Source organism: Homo sapiens, chromosome 16 (assembly GCF_000001405.40).
Source record: "Homo sapiens chromosome 16, GRCh38.p14 Primary Assembly".
Lineage (NCBI taxonomy): Eukaryota > Metazoa > Chordata > Mammalia > Primates > Hominidae > Homo > Homo sapiens.
Window position 1 is genome coordinate 10,381,957 of NC_000016.10, and position 19,090 is coordinate 10,401,046.

The 19,090-nt window shown below is 41.1% G+C and overlaps 1 protein-coding gene across 7 annotated transcripts in view, besides 3 other annotated features; it reads left to right on the plus strand.

Moving 5' to 3' along the window:
* Window positions 459-528: an enhancer, noted in NCBI's record as "active region_10379". NCBI's record gives its function as "activates an Ori minimal core promoter by ATAC-STARR-seq in GM12878 lymphoblastoid cells {active_cell/tissue: GM12878}" and the evidence as "EXISTENCE:reporter gene assay evidence [ECO:0000049][PMID:35858748]".
* Window positions 729-798: a silencer, noted in NCBI's record as "silent region_7191". NCBI's record gives its function as "represses an Ori minimal core promoter by ATAC-STARR-seq in GM12878 lymphoblastoid cells {active_cell/tissue: GM12878}" and the evidence as "EXISTENCE:reporter gene assay evidence [ECO:0000049][PMID:35858748]".
* Window positions 3,844-3,983: a silencer, noted in NCBI's record as "silent region_7192". NCBI's record gives its function as "represses an Ori minimal core promoter by ATAC-STARR-seq in GM12878 lymphoblastoid cells {active_cell/tissue: GM12878}" and the evidence as "EXISTENCE:reporter gene assay evidence [ECO:0000049][PMID:35858748]".
* ATF7IP2 (activating transcription factor 7 interacting protein 2) overlaps window positions 4,105-19,090 on the plus strand; it is a 97,578-nt gene continuing 82,592 nt past the window's right edge. For all 7 annotated transcript variants that reach the window (NR_147927.2, NR_045815.3, NR_045816.3 and 4 more), the window contains exon 1: window positions 4,105-4,166. The gene's annotated coding sequence lies outside the window, so the exon portion shown is untranslated. The remainder of the gene's footprint in view (window positions 4,167-19,090) is intronic.

The following is a 19,090-nucleotide window of genomic DNA, read 5'->3' on the forward strand; positions in this document are numbered from 1 at the left end:
GCTTAGCTAATTTTTGTATTTTTAGTAGAGACAGGGTTTCATCATGTTGGTCAGGCTGGCCTTGAACTCCTGACCTCAGGTGATCCGCCTGCCTCGGCCTCCCAAAGTGCTGGAATTACAAGCGTGAGCCACCACGCCCAGCCTCACATTGGTTTTCATTTGTGCTGCTGCCTCTGTGGTCCAGAGAATAAGAAGGGTGCTGCTTCTGCTGCCCAAAGGGCAGAAAAGTTCAGAAAACCACTGTTGTCACAGCTGCCTTTAAATAACTGAGACAGGGACTGGTGCGAAAGAGAGCCAAAGCCTAAGGAAAAAACCCACAATAACATGTATCTCTGCCACTTTTCAAATTTCAGGAAGTGCATTACACTGGGTAAAACACAACTGAATCCAGAATACAGGAGGCAAGGGCTCCTGGGAAATGTAGTTCATAGGGTTTCCGCCTTGCCTTAGGGAGTGCTGAGAAGTGTGTGGAATGAATGCTTGCATTTGTTTTCTATTGTTGCCATAAAAAGTTACCACAAACATAATGGCTTAAAACACTACCCACTTATCTCACAGTTCTATATAGAAGTCAGAAGCACAGTGGACTCAGCTGGGAACTCTGCTTAGGGTCTCAATAGGCTGTCAGCCAGCTAAGGCTCTGCAGAAGAATCTGCTTCTGGGTTCATTCAGGTCGTTGGCAGTACTACTTTCATTCTCAAGGTTTACATGTGGTCCCCCTCATCTTCAAGCCAGGAACCATGGGCTGAGTTCTGCCTGTGCTTTGAAAATCTATGACTTTCCTTTCTGCTGCATCTGTGTGACTTGTCTTTTGCCTTTAGGGATTCACGTGATTACACTGTACTCACCAGGGAAATCCCGGTTAAGTTCTCCATCTTAAGGTCAGCTGATTACAACCTTAATCATATTTGCAAAGTCCCTTTTGCCATGTAAGGTGACTTATAACCATAAGACGCACACTAGGAGACAAAGATCATGGGAGTACAAATTCTGCCCGCCACAATCCTCAATGGAAGAAAACTATCAAACAAGAAAGCATTCCAACACAAAAATGTAAAGAATTTACTCAAGATAATTGATATTCTCAGCTTTATTAATTTTAATAATAATAGTTACTATACATCAAGTGTCTACTATAAGTCAGGAAATGTACAAGCAACTGTATCTGTTATTATGTTAAGCATTATTTTAAAAAGTCAAACAGCAAATTGAGAGACTTCATAGTACTTCATATAGCACATTATGTGAATGAATTTATTTATTTATTTATTGAGATGGAGTCTCGCTCTGTCACCAGGCTGGAGTGCAGTGGCGTGATCTTGACTCATTGCAACCTCCTTCTTTCAGGTTCAAGCAATTCTCCTACCTCAGTCTCCCAAGTAGCTGGGACTACAGGTGCGCACCATCATGCCCAGCTAATTTTTGTATTTTTAGTAGAGACAGGGTTTCACCATGTTGGCCAGGATGGTCTTGATCTCAAGTGATCTGCCCACCTTGGCCTCCCAAAGTGCTGGGATTACAGGCATGAGCCACCGCACCCAGCCAACAATAAACTTTATTAACATAATGTCCAGTAAATATCAATTATTATAATTTTTTTATAGAGATGGGGTCTCGCTATATTGCCCAGGCTGGTCTCAAACTCCTGGGCTCAAGCTATCTGTCGGTCTTGGCATCCTAAAATGCTAGGATTACAGGTGTCCACCTGGCCTATTATATTACTATTGTTAAAATGACATACAAGATATCCTAGTACCTTAAATAGACATAACATTTCTAAAGGCTAGTTACTCACTGTTAACTGAATTAAGTCCAAATTCCTTATCTGACTGCAACTTACTACCTCCCACTCCCTCCCACACTATCTCTCTTAGCAACCCTATAATTATTTTCAAAATCATGTTCTAGAACAACAAAAAATGTGCAAAGATTAGGATTGTTTTACATTTTTGCTAATTTCCTTAACGTCTGACTTAATACAGTAAGACTCTCTCTCTCTTTTTTTTTTTTTTTTGGTTTTTGAGACGGAGTCTCACTCTGTTGCCCATGCTGGGGTGCAGTAGTGCGATCTTGGCTTACCACAAACTCCACCTCTCGGGTTCAGTCGATTCTCCTGCTTCAGCCTCCCGAGTAGCTGGGATTACAGGCACGCGCCACCATGCCCGGCTAATTTTTGTATTTTTAGTAGAGATGGGGTTTCACTATGTTGGCCAGGCTGGTCTCGAACTATTGACCTCATGATCCGGCTGCCTCAGCCTCCCAAAGTGCTGGGATTACAGATGTGAGCCACTGCGCTTGGCCTCTCTCTCTCTCTTTTCTAAGACAGTCTCTTGCTCTATCACCCAGGGTGGAGTGCAGTGACACTATCACAGCTCACTGCAGTCCCTAACTCCTAAGCTTAAGCGATCCTCCCGTCCTCTCAGCCTCCCGTGTAGGTGGAAGGATGCAGCTAACTTTTTATTTTTACTTTTCTAGAAAAGTGGGTATCTCACTTTGTTGCCCAGGTTGGTAGTTAGATTCTCATGTCTGCTTCTGTATTCAATCTGTAGCAATATCACCCGTCGATTTTCCAGAGGCTTCTAGAAAATTCCATGTACTCTCCTGACTCAGAGAATGAAAAAAGCAAAATCATCTTTATATTATTATAAAAATAGTATAATTATAAAAATAGGATTGACATTAAAGATTACCCCTAGATCCCTGGAGCATATTTGGGGAACTGGCTGGTTGGAGTATGTTATTCCATTGATGACCCAACCTAGATTGTCCGGACTTGCCTCATTTTTCTCCTAACTGGAAGTGACAAGGCAGGCAGCTCTAGCCTCATGACAAGCGTGGTGGCTCACGCCTGTAATCCCAGCACTTTGGGAGGCCGAAGCAGGTGGATTACCTGAGGTCGGGAGTTCATGACCAGCCTGATCAACATTGAGAAACCCCGTCTCTACTAAAAATAAAAAAAAAACTTAGCCAGGCACTGTGGCGCATGCCTATAATCCCAGCTACTTGTTGGGGGCAGAGGTAGGAGAAGCGCTTGAACCCGGGAGGCGGAGGTTGTGGTGAGCCGAGATCGCGCCATTGCACTCCAGCCTAGGCAACAAGAGCAAAACTCTGTCAAATAAATAAATAAATTAATTAATGAAAAAGAGGGCATTATGGATCTAATCTACTGTTGTATTTCCTGTATTTTCTACACAGTGGGCATTCAGTGACCACCTGTTGAGTGAGTTCATGGCATCCAAGTGCACAGCCACCTAAGGCATCGGGCCTCATGAAATCACAAGCAGCCAAGGCTGGCAGGTTCCTGGGACAATTTAGCAAACTCAAGGCTATGGTGCGGGTGGGTGCAGTGGCTCATGCCTGTAATCCCAACATATGGGGAGGCAGAGGTGGCGGATCACCTGAGGTCCAGGAGTTCAAGACCAGCCTGGCCAACATAGTGAAACCCCATGTCTATTAAAAGTACAAAAATTAGCCGGGCATGGTGGTGCACACCTGTGGTCCCAGCTACTCGGGAGGCTAAGGCAGGAGAATCGCTTGAACCTGGGAGGTGGGAAATGGGGGTACAGTGAGCTGAGATCACGCCACTGAACTCCAGCCTGGGCGACAAGAGCGAAACTCCGTCTCAAAAAAAAAAAAAAAAAAAAAAGACTACGGTGCTAGGACCAATCTCCTGAGTCACAAAATTTAAGGAGTCGTCCAAAAAAGTAAATAAGATAAATATTTTCAAACAATATTAGAAAATTCAAATCGGAAACTACCGACCGGGTGAGGAGTTGTTTTTGTAAATAAGGTCTTATTCCTAATAAGTTTCGAAAGTCTAAATCTTCACACGAGTCACTCAAAAGAAAGGCCCAGCTCAGGAGCCTGCATCTGCGCTATGGCGGGTAAGCCCCGGTGGCTGACCGGAAGAAGCGCCCACGGAGGCGAACCCCAGGCGCCCCTCAGCCTACTTCCATTTCCCCTCGCGACCCTTCGCCCCGCCCACTCTAGCTGGCTGTGCCTGACTGGCTGGGCTGCCGCATATTCGCGCTGCCATTGGTCCATAATCAGCTGGGGGTGGGCGTAGGGAGACCTACTTCAGCAGGTCCTGGCCGGACCAGCATTGTTAACGGCTGCGGTTCGAAGTGGCTGTGGGTATTGCTGCGGCTGGTGCGTCGTCGCTCTAGGTACGTTGGGGCCGGGCGAGTGTCCTGCGAGAGCGGCGATTGGCGGGGTGGCGGCTCTAGGAGCGTCGGTCGCCTCTCTGAGGGCCGGCCCCGGAGGCCTCGGAGCGCCGGGCCTACCGGACGTTTGCGGCGAAGCTGCCCTGACTGAAAAGCGTCCGCGGGGCCGTCTGACAGGTCCGGGAAGAGGCCCCTGAGGGGCGGACGGGCGCGTCTCCACCGTTTTCGCAGAGGGATACTGGTGAAGCGGGAGTGGTGTGCGGCCTCAGGTCCGGGCGGCACTGGGGTTAGGGACTGCGGAGGGAAGTGGTGCGTGTTTTTTGTCCTGAGGGGTAAGTAAAAGCTCGCTCTTGTCCGGAATGCTTTCAGAAATTAACGGATAAATCTCCACCTCCACCAATTTTAGTGTCCCATTGCCAAATTTTCTTGAGTTGTTTTAATCATCTAATGAAGTCAGGTGCCAGAAGGCAACTGGATCTCGCCTGGCGGCCTTGAAGTTTGTTAAAAAGTAGGGACCAGAGCATCAGGAAAAATACAAAATTCTGAGTAAAATGCTGAAATCCCGTACCTCTGAGCTTGCCGGTGTAAGGATGGTAGGATTTAAGGAAGACGATTTCCTTAAGGTAGAAGTTCGTTTTTATGAATATGTTTTTAAGAAAATTCCATCTTATCGCCCTTCTCTAACCAGTTTTCTCCAAGTTTGGCAAGCAAGTTTGAGAAAGAGAGGACGCAATAATTTTTTTTGCCTTATTTTTGTTAAAACCTTACCGCACTTAAGGAAACGGACTTTCTACCTTTCCGTGTTTCTGTGTTGAAAATGAAGTTTCTAACCACGTGTTCCTTCCTTTACGACACAATGGCTTTTTCTGTTCTGAAGACTTGCATATGGTTAATATGTATGGAAGAAGAGGACAGTTGTACTGAATAGTCCACATTAGAAAAATTATGTCATATTCACTTAAATTGTTATTCTAGATTGCGACTTAATACTGTTTTTATTATGATTTTGTCATATTTATTGTAGCCAGTAAATGACCTGCGACATAACTATTTGCAAAACAAATGGGGAAGACCAAGATAAAGATAAGTTATATCACAGGAAAGCAATTGAAAATGCAAAAATGAAGCATCTGAATGAAGGACTAATAACACTGAATTCAGCTTTTGTGAAGTATGCCTTTCTTCTTAGCTCGTTTATTCTGCAATACGTTTGTAGAAGTGTTGACTCCGATCTTAATCAAATTTACTTCACTCTCAGTCTTATCTGCAGATATGTACAGACCACATCCTAAGATTGACTTCTGCCTCAACAGAAATACATGAGCCAGTGCCTTATTGGAAATGATTTGCGTGTTTTAAGAACTGGTGTATATAGGTACATCTTGAATGTTCTGCTTTCCTTGCCTTATGCCTGTACTTCACCTCAGCCTTCAATTCCATTGTGTTTCCTTGCTACTTGGTATCTTGAAATCTGGTACGAAACTATTGCATGATCCCTGCACCTTTGCTTCTGCATATATCATAGCTCTCTTATAGTGAGTGTGCACAATCTATTTCATTTGATGTAATCAAAGTTTAATATATTGGATAGTTAAAAATAAAATACAACTTTAAATGCGCAAGAGTATTAGTTCTCATTGTTGAGCGAGATGATACAAAATACCAAAAAATCTTATTCTCTCATTCTATGTCAGTCTATTTTACTCCCCCCCCCTCCCCCCGCCACCCGGACACACACACACTGCGGTGACTTATCTATCTCGTTTATTTTATTTTATTTTACTTATTTATTTTTCTTTGTGAGGCAGAGATTCGCTCTTTGGCTCAGGCTGGAGTGAAGTGGCGCGATCTCGGCTCACTGCAACCTCCTCCCTCCGGGTTCAAGTGATTCTCCTGCCTCAGCCTTGCAAGTAGCTGGGATTATAGGCGCCCGACTAGTTTTTGTATTTTTAGTAGAGATGGGGTTTCACCGTGTTGGCCAGGCTGGTCTCGAATTCCTGACCTCAGGTGATCAGCCCGCCTCTGCCTCCCAAAGTGCTAGGATGACAGGCGCTAGTCTTAGCGCCCGGCCTATCTCATATTTTTATATCATTTAGATAATTATTCTGCTTTACAGTAGACTAGGATAGTTTTTCATCTTCATTTTTACCAACGATGGGACAGATTGGAGTCAGCCAGTGTCTAGAGAGAAATAACCATGACTTTTTGGAGGAAAGGGAGATAATATATTGGATTTTTTTGAACTTCTGATTAAGCCATGAAATGTTTAGAGAGGTGTTACTGAAGTTAGCCATGAATTATTTAGAGGCATTATATGTGTCTACTAAATGTGGTCATAAGTTTCATTAGTATACCTCTGAGGCTCTAGTGTGTACAGTATGCTGATGTGAAATAGCTTATCAGATAGCCATGGCAAAAGTTGCCAAGGCCTTTTTAGTACTCTTTACTAAGGAGACAGTGACTTTGGGAGGCTTTTCAGTACTTGTTATTAAGGAGAGAATAACTCTGGGTGGCTTTCCAGAGGTTTGTTTTTTAAGTGAATATTCATTAAACAGCATTAAAACTACTGTAAGAAAGGCATGTCACTGAAGATATAAAAAATATTTGTAGGCCGGGCGCGGTGGCTCACACCTGTAATCCCAGCACTTTGGGAGGCTGAGGCAGGTGGATCACGAGGTCAGGAGATTGAGACCATCTTGGTTAACATGGTGAAACCCCGTCTCCACTAAAAAATACAAAAAAATTAGCCGGGCGTGGTGGCCGGCGCCTGTAGTCCCAGCTTCTCGGGAAGCTGAGGCAGGAGAATGGCGTGAAGCCGGGAGGCGGAGCTTGCAGTGAGCCGAGATCGCACCACTGCATTCCATCCTGGGCGACAGAGCAAGACTGTCTCAAAAAAAAAAAAAAATTATAGTGGGAAATTTAGATAAAGAAGTAGTAGTTCTCTCGGGGCTGTTTTTTTGAGGAGGTGATCTTTAAGCTTGATCTTGAAAGAGCATAGACTAGGAGGGAAGGTTGATAATATGACAGTTCTGGTCAATTTGGAAAGTGAAGGTTAGGTTTATAAGAAGGTTCAGTTGATATCTCCAGGAAAAGACAAACTACTGTGAAAGAAAGATAGTGTAGTCATGGTAGTCTATCTGGCTATATAGAGAATATTTATAACAACTTAAATATTGATTTAACTGAAAATACGATGAGCTGTAAGAGACGTGTGAACTACAGAACTGGATCTACGAATGACAGGAGGGCAGACCACAGTGCTTTTCACATCCTCCCCTCCTTCCCTTGGGCATAAGACCTGGCTATAGGAAATCTAGCTAATTACAAGAACGTCTTTATAATTTGGAGGGAAACTCTTGGAACTGTGAGTGCTCCCCGTCCAGTGTTACCATCCCCTACCATCCAATTAAAATGTTTCCAACCCACCTCCAAAAAAAATACATATGTGAGCTAAATCTTCATCTGCAATTACAGGAAATCGACATGGCTAAAATTTGTAACTCAAGAAACAGTATGAAAATATTTTAAAATACTGAGATTTTAAAAACAAGTTGTTAAAATTAAAGTGATTGCCATTAGATATTCGGGAGTGCTGGCAAGCAACTGCTTTATTTCATAATGAGCATTTTATACTATTACATTGATAAAACTTGAAAAAAGTAATGTCAGAATTCTATTAGCATTCAGGTGATGCGGATGCTGCTGGTCTATGAACCACACTTGGCATTACTTCATGGTCATTATGAGATTAACTGCCACCTGGCCTGAGTTTTGTTATTTTGTTAACCACTATATAACTCTTAAAGGGCCCTGTCGCTTCATAATAACTGTTTTGTGTTTGTGATAGACTTCTTCGAGTCTTAAGACCCTCCGTTCAAATATTGGCTGAAGTACCTGACTTTGAACAAGATTAGTTAAATGGGTTTTTTCTAAATTTTTACTTTTTAAAAAGAGTAACAGTAAAAATTCAGTTCAGTAGTTTTTTTTAATTTAATGAGAATTGTTCTTATTAAAGTGTTTATTATGTATTAAGATACTACCTTGGAGAACATCACTGGAGAACAGAGATGTTTTATAATGGAGAAACCCAATGAAGCAGGAAAAAACCCAACTAAATCAGCATGCACCCATAACTTCGAACTATAACAGGAAAAAAGATTAAGCTAACTTTTAACCACAAAGATACAGGAAATATGTTATTGCTTGGAAAGTAACATGCTTGTGAATAATCTACAGGTTAAAAAATTACAATGCATCTTAGAGAATATTGGATAAATATCAAATTATAAGGTAGAGTTTTTCAAAACTTGTGGGCTCAACTAAAGTAGGGCTTAGAGGAAAATTTACAGCTTTAAGTGAGAAATTAGAAAAAAAGGTAATAGGCTGGGCATGCTGACTCATGCCTGTAATCCCACCACTTTGTGAGGCCAAGGTAGAGGATAACTTGAGGTCAGGAGTTTGAGACCCACCTGGGTAACATTACACAGGACCCTGTCTCTACAAAACAATGTTTTGTAAAATTAGCCAGCCATGGAGGGACACACTTGTAGTCCTACCTCCTTGGGAGGCTGAGGCAGTAGGATTACTTGAGCCTAGGATTTTGAGGTTGCAGTGAGCTGTGTTCATGCCACTGCACTCCAGCTGGGTGACAAAGTGTGACTCTAAAAATGAAAAGGAAAAAGAGAGACTGAAAAAATATCTGAGTTTTTACCTGAAGCTGCAACAAGAACAGCAAAGCAAACGCAAAGAAAGCAGAAGGAGGGTAGGGCATTGTAGCTCACATTTGTAATCCCAATGGTTTAGGAGGCCAAGACTGGAGGATTACTTAAGCCTAGGAATTTGAAGCCAGCCTGGGCAGCATAATGAGACCCCATCGCTATGAAAAACAATTAGCTGGGTGCAGTAGCATGCGCCAGTAGTCCTAGCTACTCTGGAGAATGAGATGGGAGAATTGCTGAGCCCAAGAGTTCAAGGTTACAGTGAGCTATGATCGCGCCATTGCATTCCAGCCTGGGCCACAGAGAGAGACCCTGTCTCAAAAAAAAAAAAAAATGTGCTGGGCGTGGGGGCTCACACCTGTAATCCCAGTACTTTGGGAGGCTGAGGTGGGTGGATTGCTGGAGCCCAGAAGTTCAAGACCAGCCTGGGCAATAAAAATTTTAAAAAGACCAGGCGCTGTGGCTCCCAGCTACTCAGGAGGCTGAGATGGGAGAATCACTTGAACCCAGGAGGCAGAGGTTGCGGTGAGCGGAGATCTTGCATTGCACTCCAGCCTGGGCAACAAGAGTGAAACTCTGTGTCAAATAAAAAAAGAAAAGGAATATGGCAGGAAATTATGAAATGGAACACTGTATAATAGGAAGCTAGCAAACTTAAAGTACTTTGACAGCCTCTTTTTGTCTTTTTTGTATTTTTGTTGACTTTGACAATCTTGGTACATGTTTAATAAAAATGATCAAGAAAAAGAGAAAAGCACATCACTAATATCAAGAATGAGGCCGGGTGCAGTGGCTCATGCCTGTAATCCCAGCACTTTAGGAGGCCAGGTCAGGTGGATTACCTGAGGTCAGGAGTTCAAGTCCAGCCTAGCCAACATGGTGAAACACTATCTCTACTAAAATACAAAAATTAGCTGGGCATGGTGGTGCACGCCTGTAGTCCCAGCTGCTGGAGGGCTGAAGCAGGAGAATTGCTTAAACCCGGGAGGTGGAGGTTGCAGTGAGCTGAGATCGTGCCACTGCCTTTCAGCCTGGGTGACAGAGTGAGATTCTGTTTAAAAAAAAAAAAAGAAAAGGAGGGACAGCACTACAGGTATTACACATACAATTAGAGAATACTATAAGAACTTTGTGTTGACAAATTTTAAATTGTGTTGAAATGGAAAAATAGGTAAAATTGACACCAAAAGATATAAAAAGTATGAATGGTTGTATTATCTTTTTTTTTTTTTTTTTGACGGATTTTCACTCTTTTCCCCAGGCTGGAGTGAACGGGCAAGATCTCAGCTCACTGCAACCCCCACCCCCCAGGTTCAAGTGATTCTCTTGCCTCAGCCTCCCAAGTAGCACCCGCCACCATGCCCAGCTAATTTTTGTACTTAGTAGAAATGGGGTTTCGCCATGTTGGTCAGGCTGGTCTTGAACTACTGACCTCAGGTGATCCACATGCCTTGGCCTCCTAAAGTGCCGGGATTATAGTCATGAGCCACTGCGCCTGGCCTTTTTTTTTTTTTTTTAAACTGGAGATGACATCTCCAAGATGGTTTTGAACTCCTGGGCTGTTTGAGCCTTGGCCTCCCAGAGTGCTAGGATTACAGGTGTGAGCCACTGCTCCCAGCTGGTTCTACCTCAATTTTAATGGAAAACCTTTACCACTAAGTTAACCCCAGGCCCAAATGGCATTAGTGGTTAATTATTCTAATATTTAAGGAAAAATAACACCATTCACACAGAAATTGTTCAGAGACTAGAAAGACTTTGTAGTTTGTATGAGGTCAGCAAACCTTTGATATCAACACCCAATAAAATAGACCCATCTCTCATTAACATTGATATAAAAATTATAAACATAATGTTAGCCATTTATAGGCCAGGCACAGGCCCATAAATTGTCTAATGTCAGCACTTTGGGAGGCCAATGCAGGAGGATTTCTTGAGCCCAAGAGTTGAAGACCAGCCTGGGCAACATAGTGAGACTCTGTCTTTAAAAAAAAAAAAAAATTAGCTGGGTGTGATGGGCGCCCCTGATGTCCCTGCTACTTGAAGGGTCAGGTTAGAGTCTTGTTTGAGTCCCGGAGGTTGAGGCTGCAGTAAGCTGTGTTCATGCCCACTGTACTTTAGCCTGAGCAACAACGTGAATCCATGTCTCCAAAAGAAAAGAAAAATGAAGTTTTAAAAATGAAACCATTAGGCCAGGTGCGATGGCTCACACCTGTAATTCCAGCACTTTGGGAGGCTAAGGTGGACGGATCACTTGAGGTCAGAAGTTTGAGACCAGCCTGGCCAACATGGTGAAACCCCCTCTCTACTAAAAATACAAGCATTAGCTGGGCATGGTGGTGGGCACCTGTAATCCCAGCTACTTGGGAGGCTGAGGCAGGAGAATTGCTTGAACCTGGGAGGCGGAGGTTGCAGTGAGCTGAGATTGCCTCAATGCCAGTGCACTCCAGGCTGGGTGACAGAGTGAGACTCTGTCTCAAAAAAAAAAAAAAAAAAAAAAAAAAAGACACCATTGGAAAAATCCTATGGCAGTAAAGGAATAGAACAAAAGGCATGAGACATAAGCCAAAAAGTGAAAGGCAGACATAAATCAAGCTACAGGTGGACCCTGAATTGTGATTTGACATGATTTTTAGTTTATGATGCTACAGAAAGTGATAGGCATTCGGTAGAATATAAAGCCATGAGAAATTCAAGACTTCAGTATAAAATCAACTTTGGGTTAAATTATTTTGCTCAATTGTAGGCTAATATGAGTGTTCTGAACATGTTTAAGGTAGGCTTAGGTTTTGCTATGATGCTCGGTAGGTTAGTTGTACCTGTATTAACTGCATCTTTGACCTAGGATATTTTCAATTTCTGATAGGTTTTTTGGGATGTAATACTACTGCAAGTCACACAGCATCTGTATGTCAATAGTAATATGAAGGCCAGGTACAGTGGCTCATGTCTGGAATCCTAGCACCTTGGTAGGCCGAGGATCATTTGAGGCCAGGAGTTTGAGATGAGCTTGGGCACCATAGTAAGACCTTGTCTCTACAAAAAAATTTTAAAATTAGCTGAGTGTGATGGCACATACGTGTAGTCCCAGCTGCTTGGTAGGCTGATGTGGGAAGATCACTTGAGCCCAGGAGTTCAAGGCTGCAGTGAGCTCTGATCTCAGCACTGTGCATGATAGAGAGACCTATCTCTAAACAAACAAAAACAACCAAGTAATGTCAGGTGTGAAAGGATTAAACAATCCCATGAAATGGCAGAGATTTTCATACTGAAGGGAAAAACAGCCTTGGCCTATAGGCTGTTTACAGGAGACAGACTTTGGATTCAAAGATGCAAATAGGCTGAAAGTAAAAGGATAGATGAAGATACAACATGCAAATAGCAACCATAGTAAAGCTATCGTGCCTATACTGATTTCAGACAAAATATACTGAAACAGTATTGCTGGAGATACATAGGGACATTCTATAATGACAGAAGAGTTGGTGCCTCAGGCATACAAATCATAAACATATATGCACCTACTAAGAGAGCAGCAAAATGTATGAAGCAACTATTGACAGAATTGAAGGAAGAAATGCACAGTTCAGTAATAATTGGAGAATTCAATACAACACTGTCATAATGGATAGAAAACTGAGGAAATCAGTGAGACAAGAGACGACTTGAGCAACACTAAACCAACTAGACTTAAGAGATATCTTTGAACAGTCCACCCAACAACAGCAGAATAGACTTTTGGAGTGTATGTAGAACATCCATCAATATAGTCACACTAGGCCATGAAGCAAACCAACACACTTAAAAGGACTGAAATTATGGGAAAGAACATTATCTGACCAGTGAATAAAATCAGAAATCAGTACTAAAAAGAAACTTGAGAAATTTACAAATATGTTGAAATTAACACTCCTAAATAATGGGTCAAAGAAATCATGAGGTTAATTAGAAAATACTTTGAGGTGAATGAAAATGAAGACAAACATATCAAAGGTTTTGGAGGGTACAATTACAGCAATTCTTAGAAAATTTATAGTGATAAATGCTATATTAAAAAAGACCTCAAATCAGTAACCTAGACCTTTTAAGAAAAACTGGAACTAGAAGAACAAACTGAGCCTGAAGTCAGCAGAATGTAGGAAAAAATTAGTGTGGAAATTAATAGAATAGACAAAAATAGAAAAGGAAACCATAAATCATTTTCTTAAACGATCAAGAAAATTAAACATTCAGCTAAACTGAGCACAAAAAAGGGAGAGAAGACTCAAATTACTAAAATCAGGAATGAATGAGGGGACATTACTTCTGACCTTCCAGTAGTTAAAAAAAAAAATTATAAGGGAATACTATAGAATAATTCCAATTGTATGGTACTCCATTTAATAGATGAAACAGACAAATTCCTAAAAAGACACAAAACTGCCAGAACTGACTGAAGAAGAGGAAAATCTGAACAAACATAAACAAAGCAGTGGAATTAGGACAAAATGAAAAGCCCCAAATCAGATGGTTTTATTAGTAAATTCTACCAAACATTTAAAGGTACAGTTCTTCAATTCTTTCAAGAAATAGAAGAGGACAGAACATTTCTGAAATAATTCTGTAAGGCTAGTATTATTTGGATACCAAAAGCAGACCCCAATACTATAGGAAAAGAAAACTGCAGAACGATGTTTTTTTAATGTATAGAGATGTGAAAATCCTCAACCAAATACTAGTAATTTGAAATTAACATAAAAGGATTATACACCATGACCAAGTGAGATTTATTTCAGGAATGCAAAATAAATTTCTCATGCAAGAATCTTTAATGTTAAGTGCCATATCAAAGAGAACAAAGCTACATGATCTTTTTAAGAGATAGTGAAAAGCATTGATAAGATCCAGTGTCCCTTCATGATAAAAACATTAAACAATAGGGAAAGTTTGGAACTTCCTTAACTTGTTAAAAAGCATCTGTAAAAAAACCCACGGTTAACATCATAGTGGAGGATTGGAGGTTTTCCTGCTAATTCAGGAACAAGATGGACCCCTCCTGGCATTTCTATTCAACATTGTACTGGAGGATCTAGTCAGGAAAATGAAGCCCATTTTTTTTTTTCAAATAATAAAAGCATCGAAATTGGAAAGGGAGAAGTAAAATATACACGGATAACATGATTTAATATGTAGAAAATTCTAAGAGATTCACAAACCATTAAAGATAAAAGCCAGTTCAACAAAGTTGAAGGATGGAAGATCAGTGTACATAAATCTGTTTTATTTCCATATACTTGCAAAGAGGAATCCAAAACTGAGATTGAGGAAAGCATATATAATAGCATCAAAAAGTAGTACAAAACATATACTCTGAAAACTGCAGAATGTTGAGAGAAATTAAATAAGTAAATAGATAATCCCATGTTCATCTAGCCAGAGGACTCATATATTTTGGTTATTAACCCCTGATCAGATGTATGGTTTGCAAATATTTTCTCCCATTTCATACATTGGCTCTTCATTCTGTTGATTGTTCTCTTCCTGTACAGAAGTTTTTAAGTTTCATATATAATTTTAGTGGTCTATTTTTGCCTTCGTTCCCTATGCTGTCGGGGTCATATCTAAAAAAGGTCATCGTGCAGACCAACGTCATGGAGATTTTCCCTGTGTTTCCAGTAGTTTTACAGTTTTGGGTCTTACATATAAGTTTGTTTTCTTTTTTTCGAGATGGAATCTTGCTCTGTGGCCCAGGCTGGAGTGCAGTGGCATGATCTTTGCTCACTGCAGCGTCTGCCTCCTAGATTGAAACAATTGTTGTACCTCAGCCTGTTTTTGTTGTTTGTTTGTTTGTTTTAATTGAGACAGTGTCTCACTGTCTCACAGGATGGAGTGCTTGATCTTGGCTCACTGCAGCCTCCACCTCCTGGGCTCAGGTGATGCTCCTGCTTCAGCTTGTCCCAGTAGCTGGGACAAGAGGCACGTGACACCATGCCTGACTAATTAAAAAAAAAATTTTTTTTTTAAGATTTTTGTAGTGACAAGATTTCCTTGTATTGCCCAGGGTGGTCTCAAACTCCTGGGCTCAAGCAGTCCTCCTGCTTTGACCTCCCAAAGTGTTGGGATTACAGGCATGAGCTACCACGCCCAGCCTACATTTAACTTTGTAGTAATGCATTTAAAGTTGATTTTTGTATATGGTGTGAGATACTGCCTAGTTTCTTCTGCATGTAGATATTCTGTTTACCCAGCACCATTTATCAAAGCAACTATTCTTTCCAAATTGTATGTTTTGCCATTTGGTTGAAAATCAATTTAATATAAATCTGTGGATTTTATTTCTGAGTTCTCTATTCTGTTCCATTGGTTATGTGTCTGTTTTTATCCCAATACTGTACTGTTTTGTTTACTGTAGCTTTGTGGTATATTTTGAAATTGTCTAGTATGATCCCTCCAGCTTTATTCTTTTTGCTTAAGATTGATTTGGCTTTTTGGACTCTTCTGTGGTACCACATACATTATCCATTTTAGGATTGTATTTTTGATTTCTATGAAAAGCGTCATTGGAATTGTTATAGGGATTGCATTGTCTCTATAAAGTGTTCTGGGTAGTATAGTCATTTTAGCAGTATTAATTCTTCCAAAATATATAAGGAACTCAAATAACAAGAAAATAAGCCAATTAAAAAATGAATTCAAGAGTTTGAGGTTACAGTGAGCTGTGATCTTGCAGTGGCATTCCAGCCTGGGCCACAGAGAGACCGTGCCTCAAAAGAAAATGGGCTGGGCGTGGTGGCTCATGCCTACAATCCCAGGACTTTGGGAGGCCAAAGCGGGTGAATCGTTTGAGCTTAGGAGTTTGAGACCAGCCTGGGCAACATGGCAAAACCCTGTCTCTGCAGGAAATTAGGTGCACGCCAGTGGTTTCAGCTACTCAGGAGGCTGAGGTGAGAAGATTGCATGAGCCTGAGAGGTGGAAGTTGTAGTGAACTGAAATCGTGCCACTGCCCTGCAACCTGGGTGACAAGAGTGAGACCTCATTTCAAAAAAAAAAAAAAAAGGCAAAGGACCTGAAGAGATGTTTTTCAAAAGAAGACATACAAATGGCTAAAGTGCACATCACTAATATTCATGGAAATGTCAGTTAAAACCACTATGAAATATCACATCTCACACCTGTTAGGATGACTTATCAAAAATGAAAGATAAGACTGGGCATGGTGGCTCAAGCTTGTAATCCCAGCACTTTGGGAGGCTGAGGCGGGTGGATCATGAGGTCAGGAGTTTTGAGACCAGCCTGGCCAAGATGGCGAAACCCCATCTCTACTAAAAATACAAAAATTAGCTGGGTGCAGTGGTGGACACCTGTAATCCCAGCAACTCGGGAGGCTGAGGCAGGAGAATTGCTTGAACCCGGGAGGCAGAGGTTGTAGTGAGCCAAGATTGCGCCACTGCACTCTAGTCTGGGCAACAGAGCAAGACTCCATCTCAAAAAAAAAAAAATAATAATAAATAACAAATGTTGGCAAAGATGTAGAGAAAAGGGAACTCTTGCACACAGTTCATGGAAACATGAATTAGTATAGCCATTATTTTTTAGAAGTTCAAAAAAATTAAAAATATGCCTATGATCCAGGAATCTTATTGGATATATATCTAAAGGATATTAAATCATTATATTGAAGAGATACTTGCACTCACATGTTTATTGCAGCATTATTCACAGTAGATAACAGAATCAACCTGTTTATCAAGGAATGAACAAAGAAAATGTGGTATATGTATATGATGGAATACCATTTTGCCTGTCATTTGCAAGAACATGAATAAACCTGAACATTGTGTTAAGTGAAATAATCTAGACACAGACAAATACTATATGATGTCACTCATTTTTGGAATCTAAGACTCATTTAAGGAAGGAGTAGAAAGGTGATTTTACAGCTGGGGGGTGGGGTTGAATAGATACTGGTCAAAGGATATAGAATTTCATTTAGTGAAATATGTTCAAGAGATCTGGCCAGATGTGGTGGCTCACTCCTGTAATCCCACCACTTTGGGAGGCCGAGGCAGGCAGATCACCTGAGGTCAGGAGTTCAAGACCAGCCTGACCAACCTGGAGAAACCCCATCTCTACTAAAAATGCAAAATTAGCTGGGCGTGGTGGTGCATGCCTGTAATCCCAGCTATTCAGGAGGCTGAGGCAGGAGAATCGCTTGAACCCGTGAGGCGGAGTTTGCAGTGAGCCGAGATTGTGCCATTGCACTCCAGCCTGGGCAACAAGAAGGAAATTCAGACTAAAAGAAAAAAAAAGATCTATTGTTCTATTGTGCAAAATCTGACTAGTCAGTAACAATATGCTGTATACTTGGAAAATTGTACAACGGTATTGTTGAAATTCATAAATAATAACTATAATCTTAAATGAAAAAATAGTAATACTAAACTGATCTACAAATTCAACACAATCCTTATGAAAATTGCAGCTGGCTTGGGAGAAATTTATGATTTTTCTTTTCTGTGTAAATTTAATGAGAGTTTATTTTTAAGTATGGTAACAGATAGGGATTCAGTTTCATTCTTATACATATGTTAATCCAGTTTTCCCAGCACCATTTATTGAAAAGTATGTGTCCTTTCTGCAGCATATATTCTTGTCAACTTTGTCAAAGATCACTTGGCTGTAGATACGTGGCTTTATTTCCGGGTTCTCTGTTCAGTTGATCTGTATGTCTATTTCTATACATTACTATGCTGTTTTGATTACCATCAGCTTTGTGTTATAATATTGTTAGAAGTCAGGTAATGCAATATCTTCAGCTTTATTGTTTTAGCTTAGGATTGCTTTGGCTATTTGGGCTCTCTTTTGGTTCCATGTGATTTTCAAGACTTTTTTGTAATTCAGTGAAGAATGACATTGGTATTTTGATAGTGAATGCATTGAATTTGTAGATTGCTTTGGGCAGTATGGCCATTTTAACAATATTAATTCTCCTGATCAGTGAGCATGGGATATTTTTCCATTTGTGTCAGCTACAATTTCTTTTGTCAGTGTTTTATAGTTTTTCTTGTATAGGAGGTCTTTGACCTCCTTGGTTAAAAATATTCCTGAGTATTTTATTTTACGTTTTGTAGCTATGGTAAATGGGATTGCCTTCTGATTTGGCTCTCAGTTTGATTGTTATTGGTGTATAGAAATGCTACACATTTTAATTTGTTGATTATTTTATTTATTTATTTATTTTGAGAGAGAGTCTTACTCTGTCAGCCAGGCTGGAGTACAGCGGCACAATCTCGGCCCACTGCAACTTCCATCGCCCGGGCTCAAGCCATTCTCCTGCCTCAGCCTCCCAAGTAGCTGGGATTACAGGCGCCTGCCACCACGCCTGGCTAATTTTTGTATTTTTAGTAGAGATGGGGTTTCACCATGTTGGTCAGGCTGGTCTTGAACTCCTGACCTCAGGTAATTTACCTGCCTTGGCCTCCCAAAGTGTTGGGATTACAGGCATTAGCCACCGTGCCCAGCCGTGTGTTGATTTTTGCATCCTGAAACTTAGTTTGTTTATTAAATTAAGAGTTTTTTGGAAGAGTCTTCAGGATTTTCTATACATAAGATCATATATCATCAGCAAACAGATACACTGATATCCTATTTCCCTTTTCTTTCTCTCTCTTGCTTGATTGCTGTGGCCTCCAGGATATATAGTAGTATGTTGAATAGAAGTGGTGAAAGTGGGCATCTTTGTTTTGTTCAAGTTCTTAGAGGGGATTCTTTCAACCTTTCTTGATTTAGTATGATTTTGGCTGTGGGTTTGTTGTATATGGCCTTATGGCCTTTATTATTTTTAGCTATGTTCCTTCCTTTTTGTGCGTGTGTGTGTTTTTTTGAGACAGAGTCTTGCTCTGTTGCCAGGTTGGAGTGCAGTGGCACGATCTTGGCTCATTGCAACCTCCATCTCTTGGGTTCAAGTGATTCTTATGCCTCAGCCTCCTGAGTAGCTGAGATTACAGGTGCCCGCCACCATGCCCAACTAAATTTTGTATTTTCAGTAGAGACAGGGTTTCGCCATGTTGTGGCCAGGCTGGTCTCGAACTCTTAACCTCAGGTGATCCACCCGCCTCAGGTGATCCACCTGCCTCAGCCTCCCAAAGTGCTGGGAATATAGGTATGAGCCACCCTGGCCTTAATGCTAAATTTACCATAATGCTAAATTTTATGAAATGCTTTTTGTG